This window comes from Homo sapiens, chromosome 20 (genome assembly GCF_000001405.40).
Source record: "Homo sapiens chromosome 20, GRCh38.p14 Primary Assembly".
Taxonomy (NCBI): Eukaryota; Metazoa; Chordata; class Mammalia; order Primates; family Hominidae; genus Homo; species Homo sapiens.
Window position 1 is genome coordinate 44,591,837 of NC_000020.11, and position 19,186 is coordinate 44,611,022.

Sequence of the window (19,186 nt, forward strand, 5' to 3'; positions counted from 1 at the left end):
ATGTAAGGATTTGTTGAAATCCTCAAGCGCACATTAAGTGCATCCTGTCGCTGCAGCTTATCGCCTGGGATGAGAGCAGTGAAGAAGCCCTAGCCTCAGGATCAGTCTCACAGCTCCCTCTCCCTGCAGCCAAGAAGGACCGGTCTACAGAGGGGAGGGAGCAAACACTGACCGAAGGCCAGGTGTGTGCTTGGCACCACCCACAGACAAAAGAGTGCTTGGGCAGAGCTGCTAGAACTATTATTTAAGCCATGTGCCAGATGTGATAAGCACTTACATCCTTCTCAGCCTCATTTAGTTTGATCTTATGAAGTACATATATATTATCTCCATTTGATAGATGAGGAAACCGAGACTCAAAGAGGTGGAACTGCTTGCTGGTAGTGACACAATTGGGAAGAAGGAGAAGGGCCGGAGTCTGGAGTTCGTGCTCTCTGACTTCTGTGGGTAGCATCTGCCATTCTGCTGGTGCTCCTTCAGACCTTTCAGACAGTGCAGAGGACACAGAGGAATCAAGGGACAGCTGTTCTCTTACAAACCTTGAAAATCCTGTACAGAGCCCTCAGATAACCAAAACGTGGTCCAGAACTGAATCCTGGGGCCAACATGCCCATTTAGCACTTCTCTCAATCAGTCCTTTTCCCCAGGTGCATTAAACAGGGCAGCTGCCTTCCCACCCTATGGGCAAACTGCTTGGCAGCTAGGAGTGTGCCTGCTCATCTCCCAGGCTGCTTTCCTTTGCACCTCAGCAAGGAGGGCAGGCCGTGCATCCAGGGAAGCACATAGTTACTCCTTCTGCCAGAAGGCCACCCCCTAATCTGGTTTACCGTGGACACTGAAGTCACTCCCTGTCTCCTGGCCATGAGGAAAACTCCTTTGAGAGGAGCCTCTGAAGCCAGTGGAGAGAGTAAAAAGTGAGAATCCTGCCTAGTTGAACAGGCAGTTCAGCCTGTTCTGGAAAGAGTTAAGGCTGTGTCCATACCAAGCCATTTAAAGAATCTGCCCAGTAGAATCAATATTGTCAAAATGTCCATACTACCCAAAGCGATCTACAGAATTAATTCCATTCCTATCAAAATTCCAGTGGCATTGCTTACAGAAATAGAACAAATAATCCTAAAATTCCTATGAAACCATGAAAGACCCCAAATTACTAAGGCAATCTTGAGCAAGAAGATCTAAGTTGGAGGCATCACACAACCTGATTTCAAATATTATAGGCTGGACATGGTGACTCACACCTGTAATTCCAGCACTTTGGGAGGCTGAGGCGGGAGTTCGAGACCAACCTGGGCAACATAGCGAAACCCTGTTTCTATAAAAGAAAAAAAAAAAATCCAAAAAGTAGCTGGGCATGGTGGCGTGCACCTGTAGTCCCAGCTACTCAGGAGGCCAAGGTGGGAGGATCACTTGAGCCCAGGCATCGCATCAAGGCTGCAGTGAGCCGTAGTCATGCCACTGTACTCCAGCCTGGCTGAAAGAGTGAGATTATGTCTCAAAAAAAAAAATTATAATGCTATAATAATCAACACACACACACACACACACACACACACACACACACACACACACACACGACTATTACTCAGCCTTAAAAAAGAAAATCCTGACATTTGCAAAAACATGGTTGAACCTGGAGGACATTGTGCTAAGTGAAATAGGGCAGACACAGAAAGACAAATACTACAGGATCTCAGTTATATGTGGAATCTAAAAGAGTTGAACTAAGAGAGAGTAGAAGGGTGGTTTCCAGAGAGAGTAGAAGGGTTGTTGGGGAAATGGAGAGATGTTGAGCAAAGGTTACAAACTTGCAGTTATAAGATGAATAAATTTTGGCGACCTAATGTACAGCATGGTAATTACAGTTAATAATATGGTATTGTATACTTGAAATTTGCTAAGAGAGTAGATCTTAAGTATTCTCGTCACAAAAAGTAACTGTGTGAGGTGGTGGATATGTTAATTAGCTTGATTGTGATAATCATGTCACAGTGTGAATATATAACATTTTTATTTGTCATTCATACCTTAATAAAACTGAAAAAAATTTAAAGAATCTGCCCAGGTCACAGGAAGCCATCAGTCATACCCTGAGCTGTTGTGTAAGCTCAAAGAGTATGGTTTATAGCATATGGATGAGTGCTCTTGTGCCAACGCTGGGCTAAACCTTTACATCCAGTGTCTAATTAGGTAGTTTCTGTTATTATCCATGTTTTACCAAGGAGGAAACTGAGGCTTTTGGAGATTACATCATTTGGCCAATGTACCAGAGCTGGAAAGTTGCATAACTAAGATTTCACTTGAGCTTTTTTTAGCTCCACATCTTCTATTTTTTCAGCTACACCAAAACGACTTCTTTAATTTAGCTTTGCTTTTCTGATAATAGTAACCACCACCCTTTATTGAGCATCTTGTCATGTGAGCCAGGCATTATACATCCATTATTTCCAATCCCAGTAGAACCTTACAAGTAAAGTATCATTGTCCCCGTTTCACAGATGAAGAACCTGAGGTTCAGAGAGGTCAGGAATTTTGCCTCACAGATTTCATCTGAGACTAGAGTGAGCTCTCAACTATCATCCTGTACTTCCTTCATTCCTTACCTTTTCAGGTTCCTAGGAGGAAAGGACTCAAAAAAATTATGCATGAATTTCCTTTAATTTCACAACAACCCTAAGGGTTGGGGGTTGATATCTCTGTTTTACAAAAGAAGAAACTGAGGCTCAGAGATGTTAAGTGATTTGCTCAGCGTCATGCAGCTAGCAATTGGTGGAGCCCCGATTCATACAGGCTCTGACCCATAGCTTAAGCTTACTTGCCTCCCCCATTCCCACCCCTCACCCCTCTTCGGCTCTGTCTCCTTGCAATGGGGGCAGAAAATCCAGCCTTTATTTCTCCAGGTCCTAGTAGTCCTGGGAGTCTGGGGGATTTCCAGCTCCTTTGAATTCCCTTTTTTGGCCTCTACTCTGCCTCCAGCACCTCTCTTAAGAGTCCTTTTCACTGTTGTCATAGCAAGGGTCTCATCTGGAGGGAAGCTGCCTTGAGGTTGGAACTATTTGGCTGCTTATCAGCAAGGCTTCAGGGCCTTGCCATAGCAACTTTCCAAGCCACCCATCTTGTGACCTGTTCTGACTCAGGGCCCCTGGGAATCCCCTGGGTGCAGATGTTTGCAGTGACTAGGATGCAGCAGTCGGCTCCCAGGACTCTTTTTCTGGCCAAGGCCATTTTAGGAAGGCTTCTGTTCCAGCTGTGCTGGGAGAGTTGAGGTCCAGAGCCTCCAAACCTTAAGAATGCAGGGTTATGTGATGTCTAGAGCTGGAGTTTTTAGCCAGGGGCTTATGGGTTAAGAGCCCCCTGTGATCATAGGTATGGTTACACACACACGCAGAGAATATATACTTTTCTGGGCAAAGTATCTGTAGCTTCCCTCAAACTCTCAAATGTGTCTGTGACCCTTAAAGTTTAAGAACACTGGTCTAGAGAGAACCCAAAGTGTTGTGGGCCACTGTGCTCCCTTGGCCACCAGCCTCTCAGATGCCAGAATCTTGAGAGAGCACACCAGGCCTCTAGTGTTTCTGCTTAGGCATGAACTGGGATACAGTATCAAATATTGCTGAAGTTCACAATTATAACTATAAATGTACAGCTGTCCTTTGGGATGCCCCAAGTACTTTTATTTATTTATTTATTTTTTTGAGATGGAGTTTCGCTGTGTTGCCCAGGCAGGGGTGCAGTGGCATGATCTTGGCTCACTGCAACCTCCGCCTCCTGGGTTCAAGCAATTCTTCTGTCTCAGCCTCCTGAGTAGCTGGGATCACAGGCGTGCACCACCATGCCCGGCTAATTTTTGTATTTTTAGTAGAGATGGGGTTTTACCATGTTGGTAAAGCTGGTCTCGAACTCCTGACCTCGTGATCCGCCAGCCTTGGCCTCCCAAAGTGCTGGGATTACAGGTGTGAACCACTGCGCCTGGTGCCCCTGGTGCTGTAAAAGTACAACTGTCCTGTGGATGCCCCAAGTACAACCACGAAAATGCATGCCCAGCACCCCAAACATGTCAACATGTTTGAACATAGTATATTCACCCCATAAGTGGTAGCCAATTTTTTATTTTATTAAATATTAAATAAATTAATTTTAAACACATTTTTGTTTTGTTTTACTCTTATCATTGTTATTATTTATTTGGTCAGGAGCCAGGAATCAGATGGTTATTTAGTCACTGAGTGATTAAAATCTATATGTCAGGAGCTGTGCTATATTTCAAAGATACAGTGACAAACAAGAAAGGCAGGGTACCTACCCTCTTGGAATCAGTTGGAATGGCAGATAATGAACAAATGTATCAGCATCATGCCTGGCTCACGGGACATTTCTGTGTGTATTTGTCGAATGACTGTTGAATGAATTTCGACTGAGTCATTATTAGGAAGAAGTCAAGGTGCTGCAGGTGGCAGGCAAGGAAACTTCATCTCTTCTGGTGGGTCAGGGAAGAGGAAGAGGGACTCAGGCTAAAGGGCCTACGCCCCAGGCTGCCAGGAATTACACAGGACTGTTTACAGGGGGCTGGCATTCCCATGAAGACTGGAGGTGTGGGGGGAGGGCTGGAATACTGAACAACCAAGGGCTTAGGAACCTTGAGTAAATGATGTTAATGTGGGCCAGAGGTACGGATGACATCTACACTCTGCTCAAGTAGTGATGGTCCCTGGCTTGCAAACATGTTGCTCTTCCAGGTTCCAAGGGAGGCTGTTGTTCAACCGGTATTTACCTATGTAGCAAGTTCTGGGTTCGGAACCCTACTTCTCTCAGGAGGCAGGAAGGATGGAAGGACATCCCTCCTGCAGCTGAAGACGGCAGAGCCCCAGCCACTGCTGGCAGTGGCCGTGGACACACAGTGCAGTGTCTGAGCAGTGTGTGAAGAGACTCCCTTACTGTCTGAAGGGCTTCACTCACCCTACACTAGTGAGAAGCCTCTGAATATTGTCTTGGAAGGGAAGCATTCACATATTAAGGGTAAAATCAAAGTCAGAGCAAAATTTAAAGTCTGCTCTTTGCCCCTCAAGACCCTGAAAGTCCCCAGTGACTGTCATTCCACTCACCTCCTCTCCCATTCACTGCTCCCCAGCCCCATGGCCTCTTATTAGTCTTTCTGGGCAGCAGGCTCCCCTTGCCTCTTGCATGCTGTGCCCTCTGCCTCGCATACTTAGATGTATATGCAGAAGTGGTTTCTAAACTCCTCTCTCTCATCATGTGTGTGGGCTGTGATACCCAACCATCAGTAACAGCAGCTGATGAGGACAGTGATCATTAGCTAGAGAGCACACCCTCAGTCGCTCCACCCAGCATTATTAGAATAATAATAATTCCCCACCAGGTCCCCCCACCCGGCATTATTAGAATAATAATAATCCCCCACCAGATCCCCCCACCTGGCTTTATTAGAATTACTATGAGAAACTATCCTCTAGTGATTCTGTTAATTGTGATTTTTGCCCCCCTACTACCACTGGTTAAGAATTACGGGCTTATGAACTGAGCTCCCTAACTAGACCATGGACTTCCCTCAGGGGCACAATGGTATCTTACTGTTTTTGTATCTGTGGTATCTAGTCCCAAGCCTAGTATACACTGAGGGATCAGTGAAATTTTTCTGAAGGAATGGATGAATACTATAGAGATAATATCTTGCTTCTTTTCATTCTCCACGGTGTATTTTGGAGATGCATTTTATAGAATTAGAGGAACTAGAATTGACACAAACTGTCTTCAACCCATGAAAGTCTGTGCTTCCATGAAGGTCTCTGGAAAGCAGCAGAACAGTCCATCTGGATCACTGCTTGGTGGCTGGGCATGCTGGGTCCTCCCCGGGCCTCCTGCTGCGGATGTATGATCTAAATTTGCCGAGGCTCAGCTACACAGCAAGGTTCTCAGAGAGTGGCAGTCTCCATCCTACTGTGAAAGGAGGGGCAGTTTTCCAAGGACTTCCTTGCTTTCCTGCCCTTCCTTCAGAGCTAGAAGACTCTTACCTCCCTTACCCCAGAGCTAGAAGTAACATTAGAGATTGCTTCAGTTATCCACTTCTGCATAATCCATCACCCCTGTTACTCAGTGGTTTAAAACAACAGCAATAGTTTCTTATATCTCATGGTTTCTGTGGGTCAGGAATTTGGGAACAGCTTGGCTGGGCAGTTCTGGCTTGGATCTTTTATGCAGTTGCAGTTAGATGGTGGCTGGAACTGGAGCAGCTTGGGGCCAGCACCGCTGAAGGCTGGCCGGCTGCTGCTCTTTCCTGGCCGTCTCAGGACCTCTCCCCTGTGGTTACTTCATAGGGCCTGTTTGGGCTTCCTCACAGCACGGCCACCTCAGATTTCCCATATGCAGCTCAATGCTCTAGAGGCAGGTTTCCCCAGAGAGAGCTAGGTGAAAGCTGTATAACCCTTTATAGCCTCATCTTGGAGGTGACACAAAATCATTTTTGTTGCATTCTATTTGTTAGAGGTCATTAAGGCCAGCTCGTTCGGGGAAATTGAAATTAAACTCTACCTCCCGAGAGGAGGAATGTCAGATAATTTGCAGACATGTTTCAGAACCACCACAGAGATACCCAGTTTCCCCCTTCATTCCACACTTGAGACTCCCGAGGTTTGAGGGGAAGAGCCTTGTCCAGAGGTGCCCAGCCTGGCATGGGCAGACCTGGAGTGTGACCCAGCCCCTAGGCCTTTGGCAGGCCTGCCAGGAAGTGATCTCACTTTCCCTTCCTTCCTGTCCCCTCACAGTAAGATAGAGACTGCCACTCTCTGGGAACCTTGCTGTGTAGCTGAGCCTCAGCAAGTTTGATAATACAGACACAGCAGGAGGCCTGGGGAGGACCCAGCATGCCCGGCCACCAAGCAGTGATGCAGCTGGACTGTTCCGCAGCTTTCCAGAGACCTCCATGGAAGCACAGACTTCCATGGGTTGAAGAGAGTTTGTGTCACAATTCCAGTCCCTAGCCCTGGCCCTGTGTGAAGTAGTAACACCGCCCTGCCAGTAGGATATAGCTGCTGAGGAGGTAAGAGTTTTAAAAAATTCATACCCCAAAATAATTATTTTTACTCTTGCTGTGAAGTTAGATACCAAAGAGTAGAATGTGGTGGTAGAATCAAGAGAGTCAACCCAACATCACTGAAAAGATTCTGAAGGTTTGTATCCAGCTGAATATCCAAAACAGGATGTTGCTTAAGCATGGGTAAAATGCATCTGGTGTATGTTTTAGACAGCCTTGTACTATGTTTTCCAGGGACTTGCTTACTTTCTTGCCCTTCCTTAAGAAATGCCTTATTATGAAGCTGGGGGCAGGGGAAAAAGAAGGTCAGAAAAGGGAATGGGTACTTTTCAGTAAATCCATACTACATGCCAGGCATAATACTAATTCACTCCCCTGCTTTATAGCCTAATAGCACAGGCTCCATCTGGCTCCAAGCTCCCTAACCTTGCTGAGTTTCAGCTGCCTCTTTTGTACTATGGGATAATGATACTTTCTGTCATAGAGTTGCTATAAAATTAAATGCTTGTAAGATGCTTAGCACAGTCTGGCATGCAGTAAGAAAGAACTGTGTAACAGGCCAGGCACCGTGGCTCAAGCCTGCAGTCCCAGCACTTTAGGAGGCTGAGGCGGGCGGATCACAAGGTCAAGAGATCGAGACCATCCTGGCCAACATGGTGAAACCCTGTCTCTACTAAAAGTACAAAAATTAGCTGGGCATGGTGGCGCACACCTATAGTCCCAGCTACTTGGGAGGCTGAGGCAGGAGAATCGCTTGAACCTGGGAGGCAGAGGTTGCAGTGAGCCAAGATCGCGCCGCTGCACTCCAGCCTAGTCACAGAGCGAGATTCTGTCTCAAAAAAACAAAAAACAAAAAACAAAAAAACTGTATAACTGTTGGCTCCAATTAATCCCCACAGCCACTTTTTAAGACAAGTGTGAGCCCTCCCATTTTATAGAAGGGGTGTCTGCAGTTAGGTGAGGTGCCCAGCATCATGTGCCACTGTAGGGACAGCAGCTGAGACTCTGAAGTCCTTGTGGCATCCACCACACCACATTACCCTCCGGGCAGCTCTGCCAGGGCTTTCCTGACATGCAATAGTTGGGGGCAGAGGAACTCAGGAGGCTTTGTGCCCTACAGGAGCCCCATGTCAGGTCCTAGAGCAAGAACATTTGAAAAACCAAGGCCAGGAATCCATTTATCCACTTAGGAGGCTCTATAGGGAGCAGGGTTACAGAGAATGTTGTACACAGAGGAAATAGTCTAGTAAAGGCTTTGAGGTCAGGAATTAAATGAGGTTTGAGGATTTAAAGAGAGGCCCAGTGTGACCAGAGCAAAATGGACCAAGAAGAGAGTAGAAATGAGACAAAGGCTCATCTGCAGAGGCAGGCAGGGCCAGGTCAATGCAGGGCTTCAGGGACTGGCATCAGGAGAGTGGATTTCACTAGATGTGAAATAGAAAAGCATCAGAAGTTGAACGAAGCAGGGAAATTCCAGTGATCCAATTTCCATTTTGAGAACGTTACCCTGCCTGCCATATAAAAAATAGACCCTGGGCTAGGGGTGAGAGAGACACAGGACTCTGGTCAGGGTCTCTGCTCAGAGTCCTGGTGAGACATTCCGGAGCCTGGGTGGTGCATGTGGAGGAGAGAGGTCAGCAGATTCAAGCTCTGTTTTGCAGGTAGAAACAAAAGGACCAGGCTGGGCACTGTTGCTCATGCCTGTAATCCCAGCTCTTTGGGAGGCCAAGGTGGGAGGATTGCTTGAGGCCAGGAATTTAAGACTAGGCTGGGCAGCATCGTAAGACCCTGTCTCTACAAAAACATTAAAAAAAAAAAGAAGAAGAAATGACAGGACTGGGTAAAGAATTGTCCATGGGTGGTGAAGAAGAAGCGAGGTCAGGGATGGTCCTGGGTTTCCAGCTGGGCAGATGGTGGTGCCCTTGCTCAGTTGGGAAGGCCGTGGCGAGCAGGCTGGTGACTTGACGTCTGAAGCTTGCAGTGCTGTGGGATAGCCAAATGACACGCTCAATAGGCTGAGTCAGAAATCTAGAACTCTTAAGAGAGGGTTGCAGCTCTTTGAAGGTCACCAACATAGATTATTTCGGGAAAGGATAAGAGCCCCTCGGGAGCAAACAGAAGAGACTGGCGTCCTAACACAAAGGTCCCGGCAGTAGCAGGTGCCTGTGCAGACTGGTTGGAGGGAGGCCCAAAGGGTGTGGTGTCTGGAAGTCCCATGAAGAGAATGGTCCGGGAAGAAATGAGTTGGAAGAGGAGGACAGAAAGGTGTCCCTGGGGATAGGCACCGTAGAAGTCACTCAGGACCTTGTCTGACTTGAGCACCCTGACCTTCCCTTCCTATCACTGCCTGCATCCAGGCCTGCTTGGGTCTAGGCCTGGCAGGTGCAGAGGCCAAGGCCCGGCCTCTCTGCCTCCAAACAAAGCCTCACCCAGGGCCACTCTTTGAATGGCAACAGGCACTGCCCAGGCAGGCGACAGGCTCCTCTCTGGTGACCTTGTGCTGGATGTGCCCCAAGGCGCTGGGTAGGGCTTTGCAGCCAGCCCCAGGCAGGCCACACATGGATAGAACCGGCAGCCCTCCCTTTTCCCAGGTTCTTGGAATATTCTCATTTTGGGGCTCTGAGTTTTCTGTTGGCCTCAGTGCCTCTCTTTTCTGGCTTTCTATCACAGAGAGAAGCCGCTACCCTTGAAATTTGATGAATGCCTGTTCAGTAGGCCCTGGCATTTCTGTTTCCACGGCCCTTTCGTCCCTCAGAGAAGCCTTAGAGAGCATTTTGCCCACCCCTGATAAAACTTCTCCCATAAGACCAGGTCCCACTTCTGTGCTTCATGTCTTCTGCAAAAGTCTGTTTGCTTTTTGTATGGTTTCTGCAAATACTGAATTTTTGAAAAAGAAAAAAAAACAGGAAATGACCTTTCTAGTATATTTGGAAAACAATTTGGAGCTTGTAATGGAATCTGCCTGAGCAATGAGGACTAATAGCTGCAGACTTGGAACAGACCATGTAGCTCTTGGCAGAGCCTGGGGCCTCTTCAGTTTACAAAGCTGGGGGGAGTATTAGAAACCCACGGGAGAAGTGGCTTCCTGTGGGGAAATGCCCAGAGCAGGCACCTGCAGGCACTGTAACCTCTGACCCCAGGGCCCCAAAAGGCCTGGGGACAGAGTATAAGGGCTTCACCCTTTGTCCTGGGCATTCAAGGTCAATCACATGTCTGGCAATCATCCAGATCCCACAAGATACCAAAACCTCCTGAGGATGAGGAAAAGAAAGAGCTTCATTCTTTAGCACCCTGTAGGGCTCAGGCTGAGCTAGAAGATTCTAGATTGTTTTTAGACTCAAATTGCCTGTTGGCTCTCTGGGTCCCTCTCTATCCAACTTTTCTGTAGATTTCAGCAAAAACCACCTCCTCAGAGAGGCCTTTCCTGATCATACAGCCATTAACTGCATGATCCACATGCAGAGAACCCTCTCCTCTTCTCCCATAGCACATACCATAATCTGTGATAAGATTCATTTACTTGTGCAGTGCCTTTTTCTCTTTACACATTGTAAATATCTTTTTTAGTTTCCAGTATATACCCTATGCCCGGCACAGTGCCTGGCATGTAGAAGTTGCTCAGTACATTGAATGAATAAATGAAATATCAAGACTGGAAGACTTGGAGGCCAGGTGCGGTGGCTCATGCCTGTAATCCCAGCACTTTGGGAGGCCGAGGCAGGTGGATCACTTGAGGTCAGGAGTTCAAGATTAACCTGGCCAACATGGTGAAACCCCATCTCTATTAAAAATACAAAAAAAAAAAAATTAGCCGGGTATGTTGGTTCATGCCTGTAATCCCAGCTACTTGGGAGGCTGAGGCAGGAAAAGCACTTGAACCGGGGAGGTGGAGGTTGCAGTGAGCAGAGATCATGCCACTGCACTCCAACCTGGGCGACAGAGTAAGACTCCATCTCAAAAAAAAAAAAAAAAGACTGGAAGACTTGGAGATCATATTTCAAACTTCATTATTTAGATGGTGGGAAAGGAAGCTGAGAGAGAAGGGGACTCATCAAGGGTCACCCTATTGCGCGGGTATTGAACCAGATCTTCAGCCACTGTTATGATGCAGGGCCGCACATTCTTTGCTCTTCTTTCCCTGTAATCTAGAACATCTTCTATTATTCACTTGTTCATCAGCTATTCATTGAGCTTCAAGTATGTGCAGGGCCTTCTGGACGTAACAGTAAACACACCAGCCAGGGTCACCACTTCTGGGGAATTTATATTCTTACCACACAACACCATAAAGCACCAAAGAAGGAAGTTTTAATCTTCTGTAGCACCGTTAAACAGAGTAAAAACAAAGGAGCTGAATGAAATGTCCAAAGGCAGGTTTTACTAACTCAGCCCCCAAATGAACCATCCTAATCATTTATTAATTGCATTCCACTTACATTCCCCATCACTTACTACACTTTTTGCATCACCATCTTATTGAATCTTCATAACAGCCCCCTGAACTGCAGGGTGTGACTGTTAGCCCCGCTTTGCTGAGGTGAGGGGAGTTGTGCACGGCCCACAGCTGGTAAACAACAAAGCTGGGCTGGACGAGCACCCTAGATGCCTTCTACCCTGCCACCCATTCCCCTCAGAGATTTGTAATGTCATCAGGGACTCCCAAGGGGGCAGTGTGATGTGGGGAAAAGAGCTCTGGACCGGGAGTTAGGACCGCTAGATCAAGAACCCTGGGCAAGTGCCTTGCCCTTTCTGAGCCTCCGTTTCCGCAGCTGTTGATGAGAGGCTTGTCTAGATGAGCTCTGGGATGTCTTTCGGTTAGATTCTACAACAACTTTTCATTAATTGAACAGGTATTTGCCCTGTGATGGTCCTGAATGAATCAAAGCTGTCTCCCTGCTGGAGATAGGTCATGGGCTGTTGGAAGTAAAGGTTTAGAACTCAGGAGAGAAAAGACTGTAGACCCATGTGTTAGGGCATATTAGTAATCATATATTGAGAACATCCTTCCGTGTCAATATACATAAATGGATTGGCCTGATTCTTTTTAATCATTGAAGGTTTCTGAACTGAGCATGAGGATGAGCCAACTGATGTTGGGGAATGTCCCTCTTGAAGTAGAGGACAGAGGGCTTGAGGATGAATTGGGGGTGGGGGTGGTGAGGAATAAGTGAGAAGACTGGGGGCAGAAAAGCCAGTTGGGGAAGGTTGTAGTAGACTGGATAGAGATGATGAAGCGTAACTGAGGCCATGATTACTGCATGGAGAAAATGGGAAGATGGACCTGAAGAGAGAAAATAATTGAACCTGGGTAATTGAGCTTTAAGGTGCAGGATGCCTTCTTAAAGAGAGGAAGAAGTCAGGCATGAGTTACGGGTAATAGGTTTTTGACTTGCATAATTGATTGTGGAGGTGGCTCCTGACTAAGGGAATGAATGAGAGAGAGTCCTGGAGGAGGGAGAGCATAATTTTGTTGATATCCTCCGGGAGGATTCATCTAGATGTCTGCAGCTCAGCAATGAGGGGATCGACATTGAAATGAATGGAAGATGATGTCATGAGAGAGAACGAGACGTGTAGAACAATTAGAGAAACATTAGAAGAGAGTAAAGGATGGAATTAAGGAGATATACAAGTAGTCAAGGTGTTGGACTAGGAGAATGTAAAAGAGCATTCTGAGAAGTTGAAGGCAGTTGCTTTACTGCCTGAGCCTTAGTTTCCTCATTTCTAAAATGAGGATTAGAATCGTGCCTACTCGTTGTGTTTAGGGTTACATGAGAGAATGTGTGGAAGGCACTTACCTTGCATATCAGAAGTAGAACTCATGCAATAATTCATCATTCATTCCGTAAGTAAGAGTCAAGCACCAGCATATGCCAGGCAGCTGGGCCAGCCCTTTGGAGTACACAGAGGAGCAAAAGGGAAGTCTGAGTGCCTGACCTTGTGGGAGAGGAATTGTGAAAGAAAGAAGACTCAATATCATAAAAATGTGATTTCTATCTACATTCAGGTACCAGATATTACTATATATATTTAATGCAGTCCTGATAAATACAAGATAAATTGGGGGACAAGTTAAATGACTATTAAGTTTATAAGAAAACATAGATCAGCAAAAACAGCCAGAAAAAAAAAATCTAAAGTCAAAAAAGATTTGAGCTATGAGAAGGAAACCATCCTACAACATGATACTAGTATATGAGTAGACAGATCAGCTGGAGAGATTAAAAGATTCAGAAACAGGCCAGGTGCGGTGGCTCACGCCTGTAATCCCAGCACTTTGGGAGGCCGAGACGGGCGGATCACGAGGCCAGGAGATCGAGACCATCCTGGCTGACACGGTGAAACCCCGTCTCTACTGAACAAAATACAAAAAATTAGCCGGGTGTGGTAGCAGGCGCCTGAGTCCCAGCTACTCAGGAGGCTGAGGCAGGAGAATGGCGTGAACCCAGGAGGCGGAGCTTGCAGTGAGTCCAGATTGCACCACTGCACTCCAGCCTGGGCGACAGAGTGAGACTCCGTCTCAAAAAAAAAAAAAAAAAAAAAAAGATTCAGAAACAGACCCCAATACACAGTTTTGTATGTAACAATGATAGCTTTTTACATCAATGAGGAAATGATGGATTACTCCACAAATGATTTGAGATAGGTAGAAAAAATTAAGGTGGCTCGCTAATTCATACCTTATTACAGATAAATTCTAGATCAAAGATTTAAATGTGAAAAGGGAAGCCATAAAAGTACTAGAGAGGCCAGGCGTGGTGGCTCACACCTGTAATCCCAGCAGTTTGGGAGGCTCAGGCAGGAGTATCACTTGAGCCCAGGAGTTCAAAACCAGCCTGGGCAACATAGTGAGACCCCATCTCTTAAAAAAAAAAGAATTAGCTGGGCACATTAGCATGCACCTGTAGTCCCAGCTTCTCAGGAAGCTAAGCTAGGAGGATCTCTTGAGCCCAGGAGTTCAAGGTTGCTGTGAGCTAGGCTGGCACCGCTACACTCCAGCCTGGGTGACTCCAGACCCTGTCTCAAAAAACAAAGTACCAGAAATAAACAAAGGGATTTCTTTACTAATCTTAGAGTGGGGAAGACATTTCTAATTATGTTACAAAGCCCAGAAACCATAAAATAAAATAAAGATCAATTTTACTAATGAATATAAAAATATGTATGTGGGGAGAAGTGCCGAAAAATAAAGTCAAAGTACAAATGACAAGTAAAAAATACTAGTAACTCCTAATTAGACAAAAGACTAATTGCCTTAATATATTAAGAACTCCTACAAATCAATAAGAAAAAGACCTAAAATCCATTAGAAGTGGGCAAAAGAATTTGAAGAAACAGTAAACAGAAAAGGAGATGCAAGTGGGAAGATGCTCAGGTTCACTCCTAGGAGCAGTAGGAACTAAAACAATCAGGCACTGGTTTTAAAACCACCTTTTAGATTAGGAACAAAACAGCATTAAGAAGACTGTGGTGAAGGAAAGTGCTCATCTGATATACCTACTGGGGATTGCTATGGTTTGAATGTGTTCCCTCCAAAATACCAATGTGATAATATTAAGAGGTAGGGCCTTTAAGAGGTGATTAGGTCATGAGGGCTCCTTCCTTGTGAATGGGATTAGGCACCTTTTATAAAAGGGCTTGAGGCCAGGCATGGTGGCTCACGCTTGTAATCTCAGCACTTTGGGAGGCTGAGGTGGCTGGATCACCCGAGGTCAGGAGTTCAAGACCAGCCTGGCCAACATGGTGAAACCTCATCTCTCCCAAAAATATAAAAATTAGCTGGGCGTGGTGGTGCACACCTGTAAGCCCAGCTACTTGGGAGGCTGAGGCAGGAAAATCACTTGAATCTGGGAGGAGGAGGTTGCAGTGAGCCGAGACCATGCCACTGCATTCCAGCATGGGCGACAGAACAAGACTCCATCAAATAAATAAATAAATGGGCTTGAGGGAGTGAGTTTGCCCCTTTTTGCCTTTCTGCCATTTGCTCTGTGAGAACACAGTGTTCAAGGTGCCCTCTTGGAAGCAGAGAGCAGGCCTCACCACAGGCTGGCGCCTTGATCTTGGACTTCCCAGCCTCCAGAACTGTGTGAAATAAATTTCTGTTCTTTAGAAATTACTGAGACTCAGATATTTTGTTGTAGCAGCACAAAACGGACTGAGAGACAGGAACTAACTTCTGTGGGGAGAAGTTGGCAATACCTGTTATAATAAAAAAGTCACAGATCCTTTGAGGTGGCAATTCCACTTTTATAGAAACAATCCTCAGGTCCATCAACAGGGAAGTAATTAAATCAATCTACAACAGTGAGACAACAGAGTATCATGCAGACAATAAAAGGAACAATTTAGTTATTACTTTGGGTTTGTTTTCAGTGTGTTGATGTAATCAGTGCTGCAGTGGCTTCAGAGTGATCTACAGTTGTTTCCAAGGTGTGTGTGTGTGTGTGTTTGTGTGTGTATATGTGTGTGTGTGTGTATATATATATATATATATTTTTTTTTTTTTTTTTTTGAAATAGAGTCTCACTGTCACCCAGGCTGGAGTGCAGTGGCGCAATCCCGGCTCACTGCAGCCTCTGCCTCTCGGGTTCGAGCAATTCTCCTGCCTCAGCCTCCTGAGTAGCTGGGACTACAGGCGTGCACCACCACACCCAGCTAATTTTTGTATTTTTAGTAGAGATGGGGTTTCACCATGTTGGCCAGGCTAGTCTTGAACTCCTGACCTCAGGTGATCCACCCGCCTCAGCCTCCCAAAGCCAAGACACATTTTTAAATGAAAAAAAGGCAAGATGGAAAATAAATTTTTTTTTTTTTTTTTGAGACGGAGTCTCACTCTGTCACCCAGGCTGGAGTGCAGTGGCACGATCTCGGCTCACTGCAAGCTCCACCTCCTGGGTTCACGCCATTCTCCTGCCTCAGCCTCCCGAGTAGCTGGGACTACAGGCGCCCACTACCACGCCCAGCTAATTTTTTGCATTTTTAGTAGAGACGGGGTTTCGCCATGTTGGCCAGGATGGTCTCGATCTCTTGACCTCGTGATCCACACCCACCCCCCGCCGCCTCGGCCTCCCAAAGTTCTGGGATTACAGGCATGAGCCACCATGCCCGGCCAAAATTTTGTTTTAAATAAAGGAAAAAGGAAGGGAAGGAGAAAAAGGGGGAACATATATATTGCATAAATTTTGTCTGGAAGGACACCAAAACGTGCTTGCCTTGGGGAGGGTGTCTGGATCGGATGGGAAGGGAGACTAAGCTCTTATCTCTGTCCTTTTGGACCTTTTGAGTTTTAGACCACATGCACACATAATCTAAAATTAAGTAATTTTAAGATGAAGTGAATGTGTTCACTATAAAAAGGAAATATAACAGATTTTAAAATTACTTATAAAAATATTAATGTATGTAATTATATCACTGGTATTCTTTTTCATTTAACTATATGTGAACATTTTGCCATTTCTTTAAAAAATATTCACAAACATCATTTTAATGCCTGAATGGTATTTCATTTAGATACAAATTAGTTAAGTATGTATATATTAATAATTCTCCATTGTCCGTTTAGGACATGTGACACATCCATTTAGGAACTCATTTTGGTGTCTTTAGTTTCCTGCTATTATAAATAATACTGTGGGCCAGGCGCAGTGGCTTAGGCCTGTAATCCCAACACTTTGGAAGTCCGAGGCAGGAGGATCACTTGAGCCCAGGAGTTTGAGACCACGAGTTTGAGACCACCTTGGTTAACATAATGAGATTCCCATCCCTGAAAAAAAATGAGCCAGACATGGAATAGTCCCAGCTACTCAGGAGGCTGAGGCAACAGGATTGCTTGAGCCCAGGAAGTTGAGGCTACAGTGAGCCATGATTGTACCACTGCACTCCAGCCTGTGTGACACAGCGAGACCCTGTCTCAAAAAAAAAAAAAAAAATACTATGAGGAACATCTTTGTACATTTTATCTTCATGTAGATCTTGGATTATTTTCTTAGAATAGATTATTATAAACTGATTTAGTAGCTAAAAGATATGGAAAAAGTTGAGGTTTCTGGATACACACTGTCAAGTCACTGCCCAAGGAGGTCTTGGAAGTTTACAGTCTCATTAACAGGGTTTGAGAATGACCATTTTCTGACAGGATTTCCAACTCTGAGGATTCTTTATTTCCCCATTTGCTGTTGACTCTAAAGATGAGAGGGTGAGTGACGAATATAAATATGGGAGAAAAATAAAACGATGTGTTTCTGCTTTCGATTGGAGAGCTCCCCAGAGCCGTCTTTGGAATTGCTGTTCCCTGAGGGGATATGGTAGCCAGAGCATGTTGGCCCAGCTGATGTTTTCTAGGATTGGTCTTTGAGTGTGGCATTTGCTGTCTCTGTGTCCCGAGGGCCAGTGGCCTGCACTGGGCAGCCTGTAACATCAGATGGCATTGTGAGATCAAAGCCCCAGGAGACATTCCAGCATGAAGCTGGCCTTTCAGATAGAGCCTGTAATTCCATCCCATGGTGTCAGGTCCTAGGACAAGAACACCTGCACAGCACTCCACGGTGCACGGAGGCCCTTCTCAACAGCCCCAAGAAGGAACTGCGGCTCCTCCCCACAGAGGACAGGCGGGCAGCAGGGGAGAAGAGGGATAGACACAAACTCCCTCTCCTTCAGAGGCCCGAGAGTGAAATCCAGCGAGTGTGCATGGAGCGCCTGCTCTTTACCAGGTGCTGGATGAGAATCAGGGAATGCAGCGGCCAGAACCTGTTGGCTCAGCTGCCAGGATTAGGTTTCAGCTGGACATGGGAAAAATCCAGACCAAATTCCTGTTCCCGTGGAGCTGACAGTCTAACTGAGGAAGAGCCGAGGACTCGGAGGCTCCGGGAGCCAGTGTGGCCTGCTCGGGGTTTGTCATTTTCCAGAGCAGCGGGTTTCAGGTGGGGCTGAGGCCCTTCTGAGCCGTGGCTGTAAACCGGCCTCACTCACCTCAGAGGGCAGCTGTGGCCACTGAGTGCGTGATGTGTATGAAAACACAGGCACCTGGGCCATGGTACCTTTCCTTATCGTAGGAATTGTCAGCATCATTTTTATCCTCTGTTATTACTGTTATTATCATAAGCCATTTTCCTGTCCTGAAGCATTGAGCGGTTTCCCCAGAGGCAGAGCGCAGGAGTGAACCTCCGTGACCTGTAGAAGGAGCCACCTCTGGAACTTCCGGGAATTCTTTTAGCCAAGGAGGAGCCAGAGCGTGACTAGGGCAGCGCGCAAGGCTGCTAGGAAGATAGGCAGGGTGCGCCATCTGCTGTAGCCGGGGGGAATTGCCGTGGACAGTGTCCTGGCCCTCCTCTATTTTACACAGGGGAAATGAAGGCCCCAAGAAAGGCAGGGTCTTGCCCAGGGTTAGGTGGCAGAGCTTGGGTTTAAGGTCACGTGTCTCATTCTTTGCTCTTTCTACCATAGGACACCTCCCTGTCTCACCTGTCTGATCTTTGAGGGCCCCTAATTCATTCTTTAGGTGTTTCTTCTGAGCTAGGTGTTGTGGGGGGATGTGGGCCTTGCCCTCCATACTGATCCTCTTCTCTGTCTCTCTCTTTCTCTCTCTCTCTCTCTCTCTCTTCTCTCTCTCTCTCTCACACACACACACACACACACACACACACCTGCAGCACTTACTGGCTCAACCCCACCCTGGGTGCCTTCTGGGCACTTCTGCCAATGTCAGCTACCTTCTAAAAGCATTGCACAATAATTTGGGTTTATAAAACTTCAACCATTGAAAAAATATAGACTTAGAAAACGAAAGTTCCCCTTAATCACAAAGAACCACAGTTGACAGGGTTGATAGATGTTTTTTCAGATTTTTTTTTCATATGTCTGCTATCTTTCCCCACAGGAACTGGGTTTTATTTTAGGTGTTGTTTTGCAACCTCTGTTTTTCAGTTGCCAGTTTATCTCAGACATTGTCCTATGTCAGTACAGGCCCATCTGGCACATTTCTTTATTATTTTTTTTTTACTGACATGTCATTGTATATATTTGTGGGGTGCAACTTGATGTTTTGATACATATATGTTGTATAATAATCAGATCAGGGCAGTTAGCATATCCATCATCTCATGCATTTATTTCTTTGTGATGAGAATATTCAAAAGC

The 19,186-nt window shown here is 46.0% G+C and overlaps 1 protein-coding gene across 11 annotated transcripts in view, besides 8 other annotated features; it reads left to right on the forward strand.

The window, feature by feature from the left end:
• PKIG (cAMP-dependent protein kinase inhibitor gamma) overlaps positions 1-19,186 on the forward strand; it is an 87,163-nt gene that overhangs the window by 59,962 nt on the left and 8,015 nt on the right. For 3 of the 11 annotated variants that reach the window (NM_001281444.2, XM_047439851.1, XM_047439852.1), the window contains one exon: positions 6,780-7,054. The exons of the other annotated variants lie outside the window; for them this stretch is intronic. The gene's annotated coding sequence lies outside the window, so the exon portion shown is untranslated. The remainder of the gene's footprint in view (positions 1-6,779; positions 7,055-19,186) is intronic. 11 annotated transcript variants of the gene reach the window in all.
• Positions 2,976-3,085: an enhancer, noted in NCBI's record as "active region_17928". NCBI's record gives its function as "activates an Ori minimal core promoter by ATAC-STARR-seq in GM12878 lymphoblastoid cells {active_cell/tissue: GM12878}" and the evidence as "EXISTENCE:reporter gene assay evidence [ECO:0000049][PMID:35858748]".
• Positions 3,116-3,225: an enhancer, noted in NCBI's record as "active region_17929". NCBI's record gives its function as "activates an Ori minimal core promoter by ATAC-STARR-seq in GM12878 lymphoblastoid cells {active_cell/tissue: GM12878}" and the evidence as "EXISTENCE:reporter gene assay evidence [ECO:0000049][PMID:35858748]".
• Positions 5,742-6,489: an enhancer, noted in NCBI's record as "H3K4me1 hESC enhancer chr20:43226219-43226966 (GRCh37/hg19 assembly coordinates)". NCBI's record gives its function as "activates a minimal SCP1, AML or CMV promoter by ChIP-STARR-seq in primed H9 embryonic stem cells {active_cell/tissue: H9 hESC(primed)}" and the evidence as "EXISTENCE:reporter gene assay evidence [ECO:0000049][PMID:30033119]".
• Positions 9,002-9,503: an enhancer, noted in NCBI's record as "H3K4me1 hESC enhancer chr20:43229479-43229980 (GRCh37/hg19 assembly coordinates)". NCBI's record gives its function as "activates a minimal SCP1, AML or CMV promoter by ChIP-STARR-seq in primed H9 embryonic stem cells {active_cell/tissue: H9 hESC(primed)}" and the evidence as "EXISTENCE:reporter gene assay evidence [ECO:0000049][PMID:30033119]".
• Positions 17,217-17,791: an enhancer, noted in NCBI's record as "H3K27ac-H3K4me1 hESC enhancer chr20:43237694-43238268 (GRCh37/hg19 assembly coordinates)". NCBI's record gives its function as "activates a minimal SCP1, AML or CMV promoter by ChIP-STARR-seq in primed H9 embryonic stem cells {active_cell/tissue: H9 hESC(primed)}" and the evidence as "EXISTENCE:reporter gene assay evidence [ECO:0000049][PMID:30033119]".
• Positions 18,549-18,618: an enhancer, noted in NCBI's record as "active region_17930". NCBI's record gives its function as "activates an Ori minimal core promoter by ATAC-STARR-seq in GM12878 lymphoblastoid cells {active_cell/tissue: GM12878}" and the evidence as "EXISTENCE:reporter gene assay evidence [ECO:0000049][PMID:35858748]".
• Positions 18,669-18,768: an enhancer, noted in NCBI's record as "active region_17931". NCBI's record gives its function as "activates an Ori minimal core promoter by ATAC-STARR-seq in GM12878 lymphoblastoid cells {active_cell/tissue: GM12878}" and the evidence as "EXISTENCE:reporter gene assay evidence [ECO:0000049][PMID:35858748]".
• Positions 18,799-18,858: an enhancer, noted in NCBI's record as "active region_17932". NCBI's record gives its function as "activates an Ori minimal core promoter by ATAC-STARR-seq in GM12878 lymphoblastoid cells {active_cell/tissue: GM12878}" and the evidence as "EXISTENCE:reporter gene assay evidence [ECO:0000049][PMID:35858748]".